Source organism: Homo sapiens, chromosome 1, assembly GCF_000001405.40.
Source record: "Homo sapiens chromosome 1, GRCh38.p14 Primary Assembly".
Taxonomy (NCBI): domain Eukaryota; kingdom Metazoa; phylum Chordata; class Mammalia; order Primates; family Hominidae; genus Homo; species Homo sapiens.
Genome location: NC_000001.11, coordinates 154766112 through 154783481, shown reverse-complemented (window position 1 = coordinate 154783481; position 17370 = coordinate 154766112). Strand labels below are relative to the sequence as shown.

Here is a 17370-nt window from a genome sequence, read left to right as displayed (position 1 = left end):
GTTCACTGGCGGGAAGAGGAGGAAGGGAAAGATGATAAATGGATATTGTATCTGTGGAAATGAAAGCCGTGGTCTTAGTTCCACAAACATAGCCCAGTCTAGATTACAGATAACGATGTGGGTTTCCCAGGTGGTGTGGACACCAGGGATAGAACCCAGTTTATTTTAATCATATATTGATTCTCTGGTCAGCAAAGATTCTTCTGAGAATGAGCATTTAAAGGGTGGGCTTGAGTTTTCTTTCTTTTCTTTTTTCTTTTTTTTTTTTTGAGATGGAGTCTCGTTCTGTCACCCAGGCTGGAGTACAGTGGTGCGATCTCGACTCACTGCAAGCTCTGCCTCCCGGGTTCAGGCCATTCTCCTGCCTCAGCCTCCCGAGTAGCTGGGACTACAGGCGCCCACCACCACGCCCGGCTAGTTTTTTTGTATTTTTAGTAGAGATGGGGTTTCACCGTGTTAGCCAGGATGTTCTCAATCTCCTGACCTCATGATCCGCCCGCCTCGGCCTGCCAAAGCGCTGGGATTACAGGCGTGAGCCTCCGCGCCCAGCCGAGTTTTCTTTAGAAGACAAAGTAAAGCCCAAACTGGCCAGCCCCCAAATAGAGTGCCTGCTTAGCAGGCTGGCAGGTGAAAGGGCGTGGGACTTGGAAGACACAGAATGCTGCAAGCCCCAGGCAATTGATTGAACCTGTCTTGGTTTGGGTTTCTTCATCTGCTAAATGGATGTATGACTCCCTTACAGGGACATTATGAGATGGCAATGAAATGGTATGTGCAGAATCACCTGGCTCGGCCCACAGTCTGGCTTTTGGGTAATTTTGACACAAAAGGGAATAGCTATGAACTGAATTGTGTCTCCCCAAAACGCATTTGTTGAGGCCCTAACCTCCAATGTAACTGCCTTGGAGAAAGGGTCTGTGGGAGGTAATTAAGTTTAAATAAGGTCATAAGGATGAGGTCTAGTCCTATAGGACTGCAGCTCTAGGAGAAGAGAAAAAGAGAGATCCCTCTCCCTTTCTCTGCCATGTGAGGACACAGTGAGATGGCAGCCACCTGCAAGCCGGGAAGAGAGCCTGACCGTGTTGGCACCCTGATCTCAGACTTCCAGCCTCCAGAACTGTGAAAAAATACATTTCTGTTTTTTGAGTTACCCAGTCTATGATATTTTGTTTCGGAGGCCCGAGCTGTGGTGCATATTTAACCTGTGGGCAGTGTGTTTTCAGAAAGTGGTGACATGGTGCACATGGCCCTGGTGGGAGTGGGTCTGTGGTCTCCTGTCCTTTGAGGAAGCTCCTTCTGTGACATCCAAGGTCCCAATGATCTGGGTCCTGCTACCTTCTTGGTCTCACCTGGTATCATCCCTCACTTCTTTCTCACATTGGTCTTCTTTCTTTTATCTCTCCAACTCTCTAAGCTCCATCCTGCCTTGGGGTTTTTGCACATGCTGTCCCCTCTGTAATGCATACCTTTGCAAGGCTCACTTTGGATTCAGAGGTCCCTTCCATAGAGAGCCCTCCCTGTCCTGGCTGTCTGGGACTTCTCTCATTTCCTTTGCCCTGTCTTATTCTCTTCCTGGCAGGCATCACTCTCTAAAATTAAATGGTTTACCTGTTTAATATCTGTTTTCCTCCCCTGAAATGTAAGCTCTGTGGGGACAGGGGCCTTGTCTACTTGTCTTGCTATATCCCTAGAGCTTACCAAGGACTGTCACATAATGGGGGCTCAACTCATGCTCAATGAATGAATGAGTGAATAAGCTGATCGGGGCAAAGCTCCCTGCCTGTGCATCGAGCACCTCTTGAACCAGACCCCAAACACTTGATTTCCAGCATCACACCTTGTCTCTCCTTACAACTAGAGACCAGCTGGTCCATCCAAAGGATTTCCAGTCAAAGGGTTCTATGGAGAGCATGGGGTCCACTACAGAGACCTAGGCTGGAGGAGGAGGTGAGTGAGTTGATCTTTGAATGTTCTTCTCTACCCTTTCAACTACAACAGCTCTGAATTTGTCTGTTTCCCATGTTGGGCGTACATGAAAAATCTTATGAAAGAAATGGCCCCACAGCCCAGAGAAAATGGAAAACCACAAATTGCATCCAAGTCTTCACATTACACTGAGGAATCTGAGGTCCAGAGACTTGCCACACACAGATGGCCAGAGGTGGGATGCTCTATCCCTAGTGGTGACGTGCTCAGGGATCAAGAAATTCCTGCTACGTGAGTAAAAAATAGTGGCTCGCTCAAATGCCGAAACTTGGCTTTCTTTCTCTGAGAACTGAGGACAGGGGAAAGGATTTATGATCACCACTGGTCTCTGTTAGTCCCAAACAAACTTCAGACTCCATAACCCCCATGAGTGGTCATTACACACTGCAAGAGACCAAAAGTGAGCTCTGGCGAAGCGCTCAGGAGAAGCCTATCCTGGCCGGACCAAAGAGCCACTGTGGGACATCACACATGGCCCAGGGAGTGGGATGGTTTCAGATGAGGACAATTTCTTCTTAGACACAGAGCGGGGTAGCGTGGACCCCAACGCCCTAAGCATCTTGTTTATGGTAGAATCATAGACTTCCCTGACAAGGCCTGTTCACTGGCTGGCCTCTTTTAGAGCCACCATTTTTCCACCTTTGCTTCCCAACCCCCACCCGCCTCCCTTTCTTCCTCTAGTTCCATGGAGCATTTGCTGACTGGTAATTTTACCAACCATTGCTGCAAACCCAGAAGTTCATTTCGTCACTGGCAATCAGCTCCTGTCCTCAGGGAAACCTAATTAGGTACTACAGGATTTTTGATGTTGCTTCCATGGTAACCCCCGTAGTAATGGTGTACATGCAGAATATATGCTCCAGGGTGTTTAAATTTATATATGTATATATATATATATAAAATATAAAACATATATATAAATAATATATCTTAAGAAAATCTGTAATTTTTTCTTCTTGCTTTGTTTCTGTGTCGTTTTTTTAAATGATGGAAATTTTCCCGGAAGTTCTTCTCCCCACAGAGAGAGAACAGTACACAAAAAGGCTTTTTCCATTTTCTCTCCTTTAATTTAGAGAAATTCACAGTTGTGCAAGAGTGAAAGTTTTTCAGGTTGGTCAGAAAGTGTCTAAGCAGGAATACGCTCTCCTCCCTGATAGCTGAGAACATTTTAATGACAGATTTTGCTTAAATAAAAAATCAGAAAGGTCTCAAGTCTTTCAAAATAGAATGGGGGGAAAAACGAGTGAATCCAATGAATCGACTCTAAACTTATCCTAAAAAAAAAAAAAAAAAAAAAAAAAGAAAAAAAGAAAAAAGGCAAGCTTCCCTGCATGCCTACCCCTTTGCAGGAAATGTGGGGAGGCCTCGCAAGTCTGAAGCTCGGGCTGTGCCATGTGGCTGCTGGAGGCACTGGGTAGTGTCCTTGTCTCCTTGTCAAGGCAGCCTGTCCCAGGCCCTGCAGAGATTGCAGCTGAACGGCCCTGTCCTGAGGTGTCCAGATGGCCTTCAGCGTTGGCCTTGTGGTGAGCTGGTGATGACATCTTTGCTTGGCGAGACACTCTAACCAGGGAAAGGTCAGACCTGGACTCCCTGAGGTGCAGGTGACAAGGGAGAGGGCCTGTGACACACCCACAGCTGAAAGCCAAGGGCTTCTGAAGAATCCCTGAATAACTGAAAGTGCTTTCTGTACTATCCCTCGCTGGCCGTCCAAGGATGGAATGCCATGCTGACCTCTTTGTTAGCTGCCAGCGAATCCATTTACCCTCAGCATTTGCCAACAAGGTCCACTGCTCCCAGACTCCCTGCTGTTTTTCTCCAGCGGCCCCCCTGCCCATTAATTCTGTTGTGCCCTTGTTCCCTGATTCAGTCTACCAGCTGACTTCCTCACATCTGAGAAAACACTTTGTATGCAAAACAACTAAACTGCTTGCAAAATAACTTTTTAAATGCTCTGAGTTATTCTTTGATATCTCAAATCATGTGTCCATGGGGAGAGTGGGGATGGGGGAATGGCCATCAAGGAATGGCCCTTGACCCTGATCTCCTCCCCATCCAGTCACCCAGTTACTTGAGAAGGACTGGCCAGCAAATATAACTGAGTGGAGTGGGAAGGTGGGGACGGGTGAGGGTTCCTGCTAGGGGCTGTGGCATAAGAATCTAAAAGGAAAATGTTGGGCACAGTAGGCACATGACCTGGCTTTTCTAATATGTGCCAAATATAAGAATTAGTTTTGTTATATATTAGTTTTGTTGCATAACAAAGCACCTCAAAACATAATGGCTTAAAATAATAATTTAGGTCACGTTTCTGTGGGTCAGTCATTTGGGCTGGGCTCAGCTTGGTGGTTCTTCTGCTGGTCTCACCTTGGGTGAGCTTCTGTCATGCAGCTGGTCTAGGACGGCTTCTGATGGCTGGCAGCTGGTACTGGCTGCAGGCTGGGGTGAAAGGGATAGTGAGGCCATGTGTCTATAGTGAGCCTCATGGCGATGACATTTTTTAAACCTCTGCTGTATCACACTTTTTAATGTTCCACTGGCCAAAGCAAGGTACATGGCTAAGTTCAGACGGAAGGGATTGAGAAATAGGCTGTACTGGCCAGGCGTGGTGGCTCATACGTGTAATCCCAGCACTTTGGGAGGCCAAGGTGGGTGGATCACTGGAGGTCAGGAGTTCGAGACCAGCCTGGCCAACATGGTGAAACCCCATCTCTACTAAAAATACAAAAATTAGCCAAGTGTGGTTGTGGGTGCCTGTTATCCCAGTTACTCAGGAGGCTGAGGCAGGAGAATCGCTTGAACCCGGGAGGCAGATGGTGCCATTGCACTCCAGCCTGGGTGACAGGAGTGAAACTCTGTCTCAAAAAAAAAAAAAAAAAAAAAAAAAGAGACAGAGAGAGAGGGAGAGAGAAATAGGCTGTACTTCTTGATTGGAAGAGAGGCAAAGTCACATGTACAGAAGTAAGTGAATGGGATGGGAGGAATCTGTGGCCTTTTCTGCAAGCTGCCCCCTCTGGTGTGTCTGATGCATGCCTTCCGGGCGCTGCTGAAGCCCTATGTAACCCAAGAAGCTTTTCAAATTGCATCCTAATCATGCATGTCTTTTGCTAGAACTACTTGAGATTGTGCACTGATTCATGGGACATGTGTTTGATTCAGATTTATATACCCACAATGGCCTAACCTTGTTGATTCTTAATAATTATTATATTGAACTGAGTTGGGTTAGTTCTCCTTTTTCTCTAATTACAAGCTCCTTAAAGGAAAGTTTGGAATCACTGTTGCATAAAATCTCCCTCCCAGAGCTCTCAGAATTATACTAACGGCTGAAAATCCGGCAAGTTCTCAGAACCACCAGTTAAGTGGTAGAGGGATTAGGCCTAGAGCCACCTCTGGACAGAGCAACTATCTGAGGAAAGAATGGAATTTTCAGGAAACCAGAGACTGTGGTACTGACACATTGCATCTTCAGGTCAGTCATACCCTCAATGAGTGAAATCACTTTTTTAGGCTTAGGAGGCAGAAAGAGTCAGTGACTCGAAGAATGTGGCTTTCCTTTTCCCATTCAGGGAAGCCAGAGTACAAGGAGCAAACCTATGCCTCATCAGGAAGAGACTCGTTTGTCAGCCCTGGGCCTCTGTGGCTTCTCCTGCTCTGGAACAGGCCAGAACAGACCACTTGAGGGCCCACGGTACTCCCTGCCCCATGCCACACTCTGTCCACATCACCTCAGTACTTCTCCAGAATCCATCAGAGGCCAACAGTCAAGCTGGTCTAGAATCAGGGCTGGATGACTGAGACTAAGCCCTAGGGGAGGATAGTCCTTTGTGGAGCCACATACACACTCCCCGAGCCCCTCTGGTCCAGTGCTACTCAAGATCCTGGTTCCAGACTTGCTCTAGAACTTTCTAAGGCTTGGAGGTCACCTGGGACAGTTTATTCCAGGTTGAACCACCCTTTGGGAATAAGAGGGTGTCCCTTCCCATGGTGTGAGATGAATTGTCAGGTCCTTTGTGAGTCACAGGCTTAGGAATGGATTTTCAACAGGAATTTCCATTCTGGGTGGTTAACAAGGGCCACAGGCAATCTGTCCTTTTCTTCATATGACACAGTCATCCGCCTACACACCCCTTTATTCACCAAGATTCTACTGACTGCCCACTCTGTGCCAGGCAACGTCTCAGGCATGGGAGTGGGGTGAGATGAGCCAGGCACGGTTCCTGTCCCTGGAGAGCTCAGGTGCACCGAGAACACAGATGAGGCAGGAGGTGCGAGCAAGAGGGTCTGTGTAGAACCACAGAATTATGGCTTCTTAGAGCAGGAGGTACCTTGGGGATTGTCTAGTCTATTCCCTCATTCCTCAGAGGAGGACGCTGAGCCCAAGAGAGGGAAGATTAGTCCAGGGGCACGCAGTAAGTGGGAGTTACTAATTCACTAAATAAGCATTTATTGAACACCTACTAAGTGCTAAGATCTGGGCTAGGCTCTGGAGATGCCACAGGGAACAAGGAAGACACAGCGCTTGTCTCTTTGGAGCTCCAACTGTGACTGGTTGGGGGGTCCCAACCCTGGTTACATTTTAGACTCACCTGGGAGCCTTAAGAAGAACACCCGTGCCAGGGCTCCACCCCCAGAGATTCTGATTACTTGGCCTGGGGTGGGCCTGGGCCTGGGCATGGGTATTTTTGAACAAGCCCTCCAAGTCATTCTAATGTGCGACGCAAGTAGGTTGAGAACCATGTCTAAGGGGAGAGACAGCAAAACCTCACACATGCAAATCAATAATTGGGATTGTGCTTTGTTAGGAATGAATGGGACCCAGAGTGAGGAAACAGCAGGGTTGGGGTATCTGCTACTTGCTCTGAATCGGGAGGGAGCGAGGCCACACTTGGAGAGCTGTGATTCCAAGGGTCAGAAGGAAGGAAGCATAGAGTGTCCTCACGTGGGACAGCAATGGGATCTTCTGGGACACATCCCACCCTGCAGATGCAGAAAACCTTGCAGCGGAGCCCTGTCTAGCAGAAGCTTTTAACCTGCAGCCTGAAAACTCTCCCCCACCCCCTACTCAAAACACCCGCTCTTTACACACACTGTTTACGAGTGCCCCCAGGCCAGCCAGCTTAATAATCCCTCACATTTTTAGAGCAGTGAGTAAAGCACTGTCCAACTTTTTATCTGTATTATTGGATCCTAACACTAACCCCAGGAGGCAGGCAGGGCCAAGGTCAGTCAGTGTTCCCCTGTTGGAGATGTGGAAACAAGCTCGGAGAAGTCACGCACGGCCTGAGATCACATGGCTAATACCTGGATGTGGGGGACTTCAGGCTAGCTCTCCCACCTCCAGCTCCACTACCCCATGTGGCCCCCACCTTCCCTGCACCAGCAAGCCACAACCAAGGCGGGGCACCTGAGAGGCAGCTGGGGACCAGCACCCTCCCGTCTCGCTGGGCAGAGCTGCCGGTGCATTCTCCCCTTCAGCTCTTACTTACAATCCCACTCCTCATCAGGCAATCAAAGGAATCTGTTACTCGTTGCTTCCATTCCTGCCCAGAGTGAACCCAGTTACTATAGTAACCAGATGCGATTCTTTATTACGGAGTAGATGGTTTTAATTTTGTATTTGAAGAGTTTGGCCAGGCAGTCACGTTGCCATGGCTTGGCCTGTCGGGCGGCAGTTAGAAGCAGAGGGAACCCTTTGAGCAGCCATTAGGGCTTTCTAATTGCTGGGGAAAACCTATGTCTGGAAAAACCCAGGCTCAGCTGCACTGGGGAAGGAGGAGGGTGAGTCTCCAGCTGGTGCTGTGCTGGGTACTGTCTCCTGTTCAGAGATGACAGCTCCCTGATTAGAGCCACCAGGTGAGCCTCTCAGCCAGTTGCTCCCATAGTGCCCTGTAGTTTCCCTTCAGGATCCTCATGGGTGGGTGGGTGGGGGGCTGGCTGCTCAGAGGGCCATCAACACATTTTTGTTGAATGAATGAATGAATGAACAAATGATCCTTTGTAGTTTATTAAACCCTTTCAATCCATTGTCTCCTCTGCTCTCCAGTATGGCTCTGTAAGGGTACGGAGCAGGGAGAAAGAGAAACTGAGGCTCGGCAAGGTAAGAGACTTGCCTCCTAGTGCTGCCTCCCCTGTCTGTGCCTCTCAGGGCCCATGAATTGCCTGGAATGTTCCCCTTGCTGCAGAAACATATCACAGGTAGATGCTAAAAGCAAGGCAAGCATCGCCCGCCCACACCACACCAGGCCTGGTACCATAGGTCCTCTCCTGGGTCCTCAGTTCTTGCTGAACTGTAAGGAAGGCAGCAAAGTGGAGTGAGAAAGCTGCTTGGTGACTAACTTTGAAGCAGAGCAGAAGCTTCCTTTGGCCCAGACCATCAAGGAGACAGTTGGGTGGACAGAATAAAGGGCTCCTCATTCCCTGATCTCCCTGTGCAAGGGAGGAAAGGAAGGCTTCACTCGGCTTTCAGCCAGCCCCCGCAAATCCACGCTGATCCAGTCTCTCTGTTACGCTTTCTGTGCTGAGGGTGTATTTCCAGGTTAAATAAAACCTCCACCCAACCCTGGCCCCAACATTAATTTCTCCTAACCCAGCCTAGTTTCTTCCGGCCTTGCAGCTCAGGCCTTCCCAGGATGCATGCATGGCCTGCTCTCCCAGCCAGGAGGTGCTGATGCTGGTACCCTTCATCCTGAGCTCATGTTAGGCCACAGGACCCTGCTAGCTCCTCCTTAAAGGCAATCATAACCAGCTTTGGAGAGCAGCAGCTCTCTGTGGCTGTTGGTGGAGCAGGCAGCATGTGAGGCTGGAGTCTTGAGTGGGATGTGTTCGTGGATGAGCTGGGACAGGCAACAGCCAGATCTGCTGGAGGGCCAAGGACCCAGTAAAGAGAGGGCATAGTGTGATGATAAACATTCCACTACCTCCCAGAAGTGAGGTGCCTGCACAGGAGGCCCACACCGAACATATGCCCGGATCTCAGGCCTCACCCTCCAAGAATCAAATCATCGGAGCTGGATGAGACTTTAGAGGCTTCTCATTTCAGTCTCAGATGAAGACTGAGGCCCCAGAGGGGAAGGATGTGAAGTCCCTTTCACAGTCATCAAATATGGTGGGACTCCACAGTGGGACTTACCGGAAGACAAAGGCTGGACACACAGCAGGTGCTCAGTCAATTCTTGTGAGAACAGCCATCCTCATGAGGTGACAGCAGGAAGCATCTTCGTGAAAGTTTAGGGCCAGAAGGAAGTTTAGACATCACTGAGCCCAACTGTCATTTTACAGAAAGACCGAGACCAGATCCATTAATAATGCTACAAATAAGAATAGCTAATAGTTACATAGTGTGCTGGGTGCTAGGCAGGATTCCATGCATGTTGCATATACGAACCCACTGCAGCCTCACAGTGACCTCTATGCAGCAGTTATTATCATCATCCCCAGATGAGGTAACTGAGGCACAGGGTGGTTCGGTAATTTGCCCAGGATCATGGAGCCAGTAGTGTTAGGATCAGGCAATCTGGCTCCAGAGTCCGTGCCGTGAACACTTCACTGCACTGTCTGAGAGCACAGTGCTGCCAGCAAACACTTGCTGCCCCCTTCTCTGAGTGGGGAGAAGGAATCTGTGCCAGCCCTTGTGAGTTCACTCATGCAGGAAACATGACTTTTTCATCTTTACATCCCCTTACAGGGCTCAGCTCAGGTCTGGCAGGGGCTCAGGGATGTGTTTCTAATATAAATGAGTTGATCTTTCTCACCATCGTGAAACAGCCAATTTGGCACCTGTGTGCTGGAAGGGACCTTGGGAAGTGGCTCAACATAGAACACTTGTGGTCAGCAAAAAGGAGGGGGTGGTTCCCACACACCAAGCAATTCTCCAATGGACACTGGCTGAGTGTCCTGCAATATAACTCAAGCCTGATTGTCCGCCTGGAGTTAGTGTTGGCTCCCACAGGTTGAGGGCTCAGTCCCACCACATTTACCTGACTTCCGATGCTAGTCACCAGCCCCAGGTTGTTTTATCTGAGCCTCTGACCAAGTGGCTATAAATCAGGGATTCCCAGGACGCCCTTCTCAGGTTTTCATTAATTTTCTAGAGCAGCTCACAGAACTCAGGGAAACACATTTACTGGTTTATTATAAAGGACCTTACAAAGGATTCAGATGAGCAGCCATATGGGAGCGAAGCAAAGGGCAGGGCGCATGGGAAGGGGTGGAGCTTCCATGCCCTCTCTGGGCACGCAACACTCCACGTGTCCAGGGACCTCCATGTGTGCAGCTATCTGGAAGCTCATCGAAACACAAAGAGGGGAACGACAGACACTGAGGGTGGAGAGTGGGAGGGAGAGGATCAGAAAAAATAACTATTGGGTACTGTACCCAATAGTACCTGGGTGACGAAATCATCTGCACAACAAATCTCTGTAACACGAGTTTACCTATATAGCAAACTTGCACATGTACCCCTGAACCTAAAATAAAAGTTAAAAAAACAAAACAAAACACTGTCTTTTTGGGATTTTGTGGAGGTTTCATTACACCGACATAATTGATGACATCATTGGCCATTGGTGATCAACTCAACCTTCGGGCCCCTCTTCCTTCTCAGGAGGTGGTGGGGTGGGGCTGAAAGTTCCAACCCTCTCATCACCAGATTGGTTCCCCTGGCAACCAGCGCCATCCTGAGGCCACCCTGGATCCCCACCCCGACCGACCCCAGCCACTAGTCATCTCATTAGCATACAAATGACACTTATCACTTTGGAAATTCCGAGCGTTTTGGGAACTGTGCCTAAACCAGGATAAAGACCAAGTACATTATTTCTTATTATAAATCACTATATCTCAGGCAGCGATTTGCAGAGGAGGAAAGTGAGGCCAAGAGAGTCAAAGTGTCTTAGCCAGGGCTTCCCAGGTAGACTGAATCCAGCTCTCCCTACTCCACATACAGGGCTCTTGCCACATAGCAAGGCCCCTAAAGAGCATGCTGAGGTGGTCAGGCTGACCTGAGCCCAGCAGCCTGCCCCAGCCTGCCCCACCTGTCCTGCCTGGACCCTGCTGTGGGCTTCCTGGTCCTGGCCACACTAATGGACTTTCTGCTCCCACCAGCTCTTCGTGATCGACAATGGCGCGGATGACTGGCGGATAGCCATGACCTACGAGCGCATCCTGTACATCAGCCTGGAGATGCTGGTGTGCGCCATCCACCCCATTCCTGGCGAGTACAAGTTCTTCTGGACGGCACGCCTGGCCTTCTCCTACACACCCTCCCGGGCGGAGGCCGATGTGGACATCATCCTGTCTATCCCCATGTTCCTGCGCCTGTACCTGATCGCCCGAGTCATGCTGCTGCACAGCAAGCTCTTCACCGATGCCTCGTCCCGCAGCATCGGGGCCCTCAACAAGATCAACTTCAACACCCGCTTTGTCATGAAGACGCTCATGACCATCTGCCCTGGCACTGTGCTGCTCGTGTTCAGCATCTCTCTGTGGATCATTGCTGCCTGGACCGTCCGTGTCTGTGAAAGGTATTCCACATGGGGCTTTCTGAGTACAGAGCCTGTGCTGGGACAGGGAAGGGAGGAGGAGTAGGGGTGCCAGGAAGTATGTGGTCTGATGGAGGAGACAGGCATGTACCCAGACACCTGAAAGGAGACAATGGGAAAGAGGGGAGTGCTGAGTTGGGGTTCAGTATGAGCTAGAATTGCAGCATTGGAACCAAAGTAAGGTGGGAAAAAGGCACAGAATTTTCCTGATTTTCTGTTCCTTCTTTGCAAACCAATATATCAAAGCATTCTGGTTACATCAGTAACTCACATATAACACATTGCAACTTACTCCTCTTGGGTATTAATAATGCTTATTAGCATTTTAAAGGCTCTGAGAAGTCCTGAAGTAATGAAACCATTTATTTTTGTTTGGTTCAGCCTTTCTTAATTGTATTTGCCTGCAAATCCTTTTTATTATAAAGCACTATTGGTACCTTGCTACTCAAAGTTTGGTTCACAGACCAGCAGCACTGGCATCACTGGGAACTTGTTAGAGTTCCCAGAATCTCAGGCCTTAGCCCAGAATGAATGAATCAGAATTTGCATTTAACAAGGTCACCTGGTGATTCATATGCACCTTAGTTTGAGAAGCACTGTACTGATGGAACATACTTTGGGAAACATTGTTTTAGGAGGCTGGTGGTTGGGAGTCATTCAGAGAAGCTACTCATGGGAAAGAAGGGAGATGTGGCCTGACAGAGATCCAGGGCTGTAGAACAAAATGCCAACTCCTTGGAACAGCCATCAACAAGGCTCAAGGGCAGGACTGAAGCCACCTCCTTCCACCACCCTCGAGCTGCCTTTAATGACTCTTCTCCTTGCAAGGGGTCCTGGATTTTCATTTTATTTATTTATTTATTTATTTATTTATTTATTTATTTATTTATTTATTTATCTGAGATGGAGTCTCGCTCTCTCGCCCAGGCTGGAGTGCAGTGGCATAGTCTCTGCTCACTGCAACCTCTGCCTCCTGTGTTCAAGCAATTCTCCTGCCTCAGCCTCCCATGTAGCTGAGATTACAGGCATGCGCCACCATACCAGGCTAATTTTTGTGTTTTTAGTAGAGATGGGGTTTCACCATGTTGGCCAGGCTGGTCTTGAACTCCTGGCTTCAAGTGATCCTCCTACCTTGGCCTCCCAAAATTCTGGGATTACAGGCGTGAGCCACTGCACCCAGCCCTGGATATTCATTTTAATCTATTTGACATGTGGAGTCTAAATCTAGGTTAGAAACCGTGATTCTGCTCCTAAGTAGCTGTGAGACCTAGGGCAAGTTACTTAACCTCTCTGGGCTACAGTTTCCTCATTTTAAAATGAGGATCACTTGAGATAGAATGAAGCTATGTTTGCTTGAGATAGATTATTTTTATTATGTTGGGAGGTATGGTGAAGCATCCTGTGTAATTTACACAAATCCTGGTAGTCGCCCTTAATTTGTCAACACTTACGATTATATTGCCAAATCTTCCATGCACCAGTGTCCTAGCAGAGATCAAACAAGACAAAGAAGTCTGGAGAGGAGTTAGCCTCAACACACCCTACATGGGTGCCTTGAATCGTATCTCCTACCTATTTTTGAGACATTCTGTTTGCAGACATTTCTTTCAGCGTTTTGGCCAACAGACACACGGTCAAACTGAGAGGGCATTCTGCTGCCGCAGAACAAGGGTTCAGGCTCCAGGATGCAGGTTCAGGTTCTGAGAGCCAGTGCAGTGTTGGAAGACCTTTCTCACACACAGAGCCCCAGGGACACACCATGCTCACCTATTCAGAACCTCGCCATTACTCAGCAGCTGACATTGCAACATCTGCTCTGAGTGGGACCACACTGCACAGGGCTTCATGAGCCTTCTCTGGTAAGCAGACACTCTTCCCCCAATGGAGAAAGCATGTGCTTGGGTTCCGACCCCAAACTCTTCATGGTACTGTTAGCTGAGCAACATTGTGCTGGTCGCTTCACCTCTCTGGACCTCAATTTTCTTATCTGAAAGCTGGACACAGGATTTATTGTTAGAGTCAAACAAGGTGTATATATGCACTATGTACTGCAATCCAATGATGGTGAAAGTTAATAATAATAGTGCAGATCCCTTGATAACTCTTGGGAATTTTGTGCTGCCTTCTTTTAATTAGAACAGCCCAACTTGTACCATACATGGGCCTATACTCTTCCTGTTTTCCTTTCTAAATGATGGAAGCCATGTTGTCTATTAACATAGTAATTGAATTTGCGTAGCCCTTTAAGCTATTTGAAGTCTTTCACTTCCTCAGATGCTCTCTGGCATGTATTTCAGATGGCTGAACATGCAACAAAGTACCTGCAAGTGAGTTTCGTAGTTTATTGAACCTATCACAAGAAGGGGTGACTATTTTTCACTGGAAAATAAGCTTGTTTTAAAGAATGTAGTTTGCAAAGTACTTAGATGATGCACCTTATTTGATATTGCATGGCCTTCCATAGCTTCCAAGCTGAGGCTGGGTTAGTTTGGTCCCTGGTGGGCCACTGGGTCTCTCTCTCTCTCTCTGCAGACATGGGTCACAAGCCCCCGCTAAGACCAAGGCACAGAGGAACAATGAGCAAATCGGAAATTCTCTGAAAGTTCCCTTCTCTTGCGAAAAGGCCATTTGACCAAAGACTTAGGTATAACATGAGGTGTATTAAAGCATGGTGGATGTTATTGTTGCACCCCTGTGCTAGTTCTGTGTAAAATCCATATGTCATCCCAGCTTGCCCTCACAATAGATCTATGAGAGAGGTACCTTGCCTGAGGGAAGGAGAGCCCGGGTCCTGGAGGGGCATTTGGGTGAAGCAACATGTCATCCACTACATGGATGTGTTTGAATTGGACATGAAGGCTCATGGGAGAGTTGAGGAAACTGATAGAAAGTAACTGGCCCGAGGTCACAGAGCTATTAATAATAAGCGTGGAGCCAAAATCTGAACTGGTTTCTGACTCTGAACTTCCATGTGTGTGTCACCAACCCAGGCTGAATCCTGCACATACGAGGAAATCTTGGCCTCTACTCTACTGGCAACTTTCCCAATCTCAGAGTCTTAAGGCCACTGAGACTAACATGTGAATCCCAGTCTTGCTGTTTTCTCTGCCTCTGCTGCCTATGGTCTTGACCATGTTATCATACTAGCCTCCTGGGCTGCCTTCATGTCCAATTCAAACACATCCATGTAGTGGATGACATGTTGCTTCATGTCAACATGAAGGGGACAGATGCCCCCTCCAGGACCCGGGCTCTCCTTCCCTTAGCTGGGGTTGTGACTGAGTCCCTCTCTTCAGGTCAAACCCCTTGCCTGGGGGCAGCAAGCTCCCGAGGGGATTTGTCAGTGTGGGAGTTCAAAGGCCTAACCCCGTTTGCTTCTAGTAGGACACTCAGCCAGGCTCCAGGGTCCCTGAGGGATCGCCTAAGGCCTCTGTTACCACTGCATCCGGGAACTTCCTCTATACCCCAGAGGTATTGATCCTGAGAGCAGCCCCAGTAAAACTCCCACCCCCAAATCTCAGCATCTCACAGACTGTTTCCCAGGAATCTGCCCCGTTAATATATTGTTTCCTAAACAGGCAAAGCACTTCTCTTACCAAGACTAAGCACTATTTTTAGAATCAAGCTTAAATGATCATTCTGTTTCCCAATGTCAAATAATAAGTAAGATTGGCAGAGGCCTTCAGCCAGGACTTATTCAGCCAGAGACTGGACAGAAGCTGGAAGCAGGGGAAGCTTTGGGGAACTGAAGCGTCAGACCAGGGTAGTGTGGACAGGATGCCTTGATCTCTCTCAGCCTGATCTAATGATGATTCTATCACCTTAGGCATCAGAGAGGGTAAGTGACTTGCCCAGGGTCACACAGCAGCATGACAGGTTCTAGAAAAATCCACAGCTGCTGATGCCCAGAGCCTGTTCACATTCCAGGTAGCTTTCATCAGCCTGGACTTATCTCTAGTTGTATACACACACTTCTGAAGTTGCTATGGAAATCTCTCTACAGCAAGATGTATTTTAAAAGACAGTTCTCATATCTTGGGTTGGTTTTTATGTGACAACAAAGGTTTTTCATATTTCCTCCTCCCAAGGAGAGAAAGTGGGATCATAATTACGCAGAACAGCCGTGCCATGGGGAGGGCAGCGCCTGGTTGCTGGGAGGGCAGTGACAACAGTGGGCTTGTTTTCCTTGGCCCCCAGAGAGGCATTACATCATGGGTTCCGAGGCCTGACAGTTGTGGCACTCTGCATTCTCTGGGATTCTCCTGGCTGCCTGCCCACCTCCCTCAGGGAGGAACCTCCTGATTTTACACTGTCAAGTGCCAAGCAGCTTTACTGGTGGAGAGACCATCTGAGGCCCCGGGTCCTCACTGCGGCAGCAGGTTGGAGAGCCAGCCTTCCTAGCGTGCCTTGAGCAGTGCAGTGGCCTGCCAGCTCACCTTTGTATGTTTATCTCCTTGGGAGGAGCAACAAGGCCTCCCATAACATTGATGAAGTGGGGTGAGCCTTGCTGTCACAGCCATGCTTTATAAATGACCTTACTGTCCTCTTGAGTGGATTCCCTTCGGACCCTTTGGACCCTTCACTTTGGTCCCTCCTGAGGCTCCAAATTCTGCAACAGGCTGTCTCAGTGTCCCAGGCCTTCCAGTCTGTCAACAGGTTTTTTATTTTGCTGGTTAACTTTTGGCATACTGATATTTTAATGAGAAATTTTATTCTGGAGATCTGGCTCCTAAAGCAGGAGAAAAACAATTTGTGGCCCATTCTTTCTCTCATTAAGAGAGCCACCACTCCCATTGTAAGGAGATAAAAAGAGGCTTCCTTGCTGTACTCTCTTCTGCCCCTGCCTCAGACACCCAGGCCTGCACTTGCCAGCAGCAGGAAGCAAGACCACAGCTCCCTCCTCCTCCCATCTCCTTCCCACAACCTCCTACCCCCTCCAAGAAGGGGTACTTCCACTCCAAGAAAACAGTAGGAATGGCCAGGCTCGGTGGCTCACGCCTGTAATCCCAGCACTTTGGGAGGCCGAGGCGGGCAGATCACGAGGTCAGGAGATCGAGACCATCCTGGCTAACACGGTGAAACCCCCGTCTCTACTAAAAATACAAAAAAATTAGCCGGGCATGGTGGCACACACCTGTAGTCCCAGCTACTCGGGAGGCTGGGACAGGAGAATGGCGTGAACCCAGGAGGCGGAGCTTGCAGTGAGCCGAGATCACGCCACTGCACTCCAGCCTGGGTGACAGAGCCAGACTCCATCTCAAAAAAAAAAAAACAAACCCCAAAACAAAACAGTAGGAAAGTGGTCATTACAGGGATGAAGCACCCTACATGGGGTTGATGGAAGCCTGCAAGCTAAACCCTGTAGGCTGAGCAGAACTGAGCAGAGCCTGGGAACAGTGGGGCCAGGCACTGTGGTTCCTCATGGACTGCTTTGGTTTGAGTTATAACCTCCAATGTGGGGCACACGCACAGTGATCCATGGGACTATTGGGAGAAATGATCAGAACTTCTACATATATATATATATATATATATATATAAAGCCTGGCTAGTATTTAATAAATGGATAGAGAGCAATACATGTCTGTAATTTATAATAAATATATGTATAATGGAGGAGGGCATGCTCAAAAAATTTTTAATTGGTAGGAGCCCATGATTTTAAAAGTTTGCAAACCACTGGTTTATGATATCAGAGGACTAGTTAGAGAGGATAGGAAAGTAGCCTACCACATGGGATGAAGCCTGCTAGACCCAGGAACCCTGCCCTCTAGCTGGAGAAGTGAGAAGTTAGCCTCCTGTAGGGAAGGAGCAGCCTGTAGCGATCCCCTTCTGGTGCCAGGCG

At 48.6% G+C, this 17370-nt stretch overlaps 1 protein-coding gene across 5 annotated transcripts in view; it reads left to right on the top strand.

Moving 5' to 3' along the window:
• KCNN3 (potassium calcium-activated channel subfamily N member 3) overlaps positions 1–17370 on the top strand; it is a 172827-nt gene that overhangs the window by 86800 nt on the left and 68657 nt on the right. For all 5 annotated transcript variants that reach the window (NM_002249.6, NM_001204087.2, NM_170782.3 and 2 more), the window contains exon 3: positions 11089–11507. In NM_002249.6, coding sequence (NP_002240.3) covers positions 11089–11507 — 419 coding nt within the window. The remainder of the gene's footprint in view (positions 1–11088; positions 11508–17370) is intronic.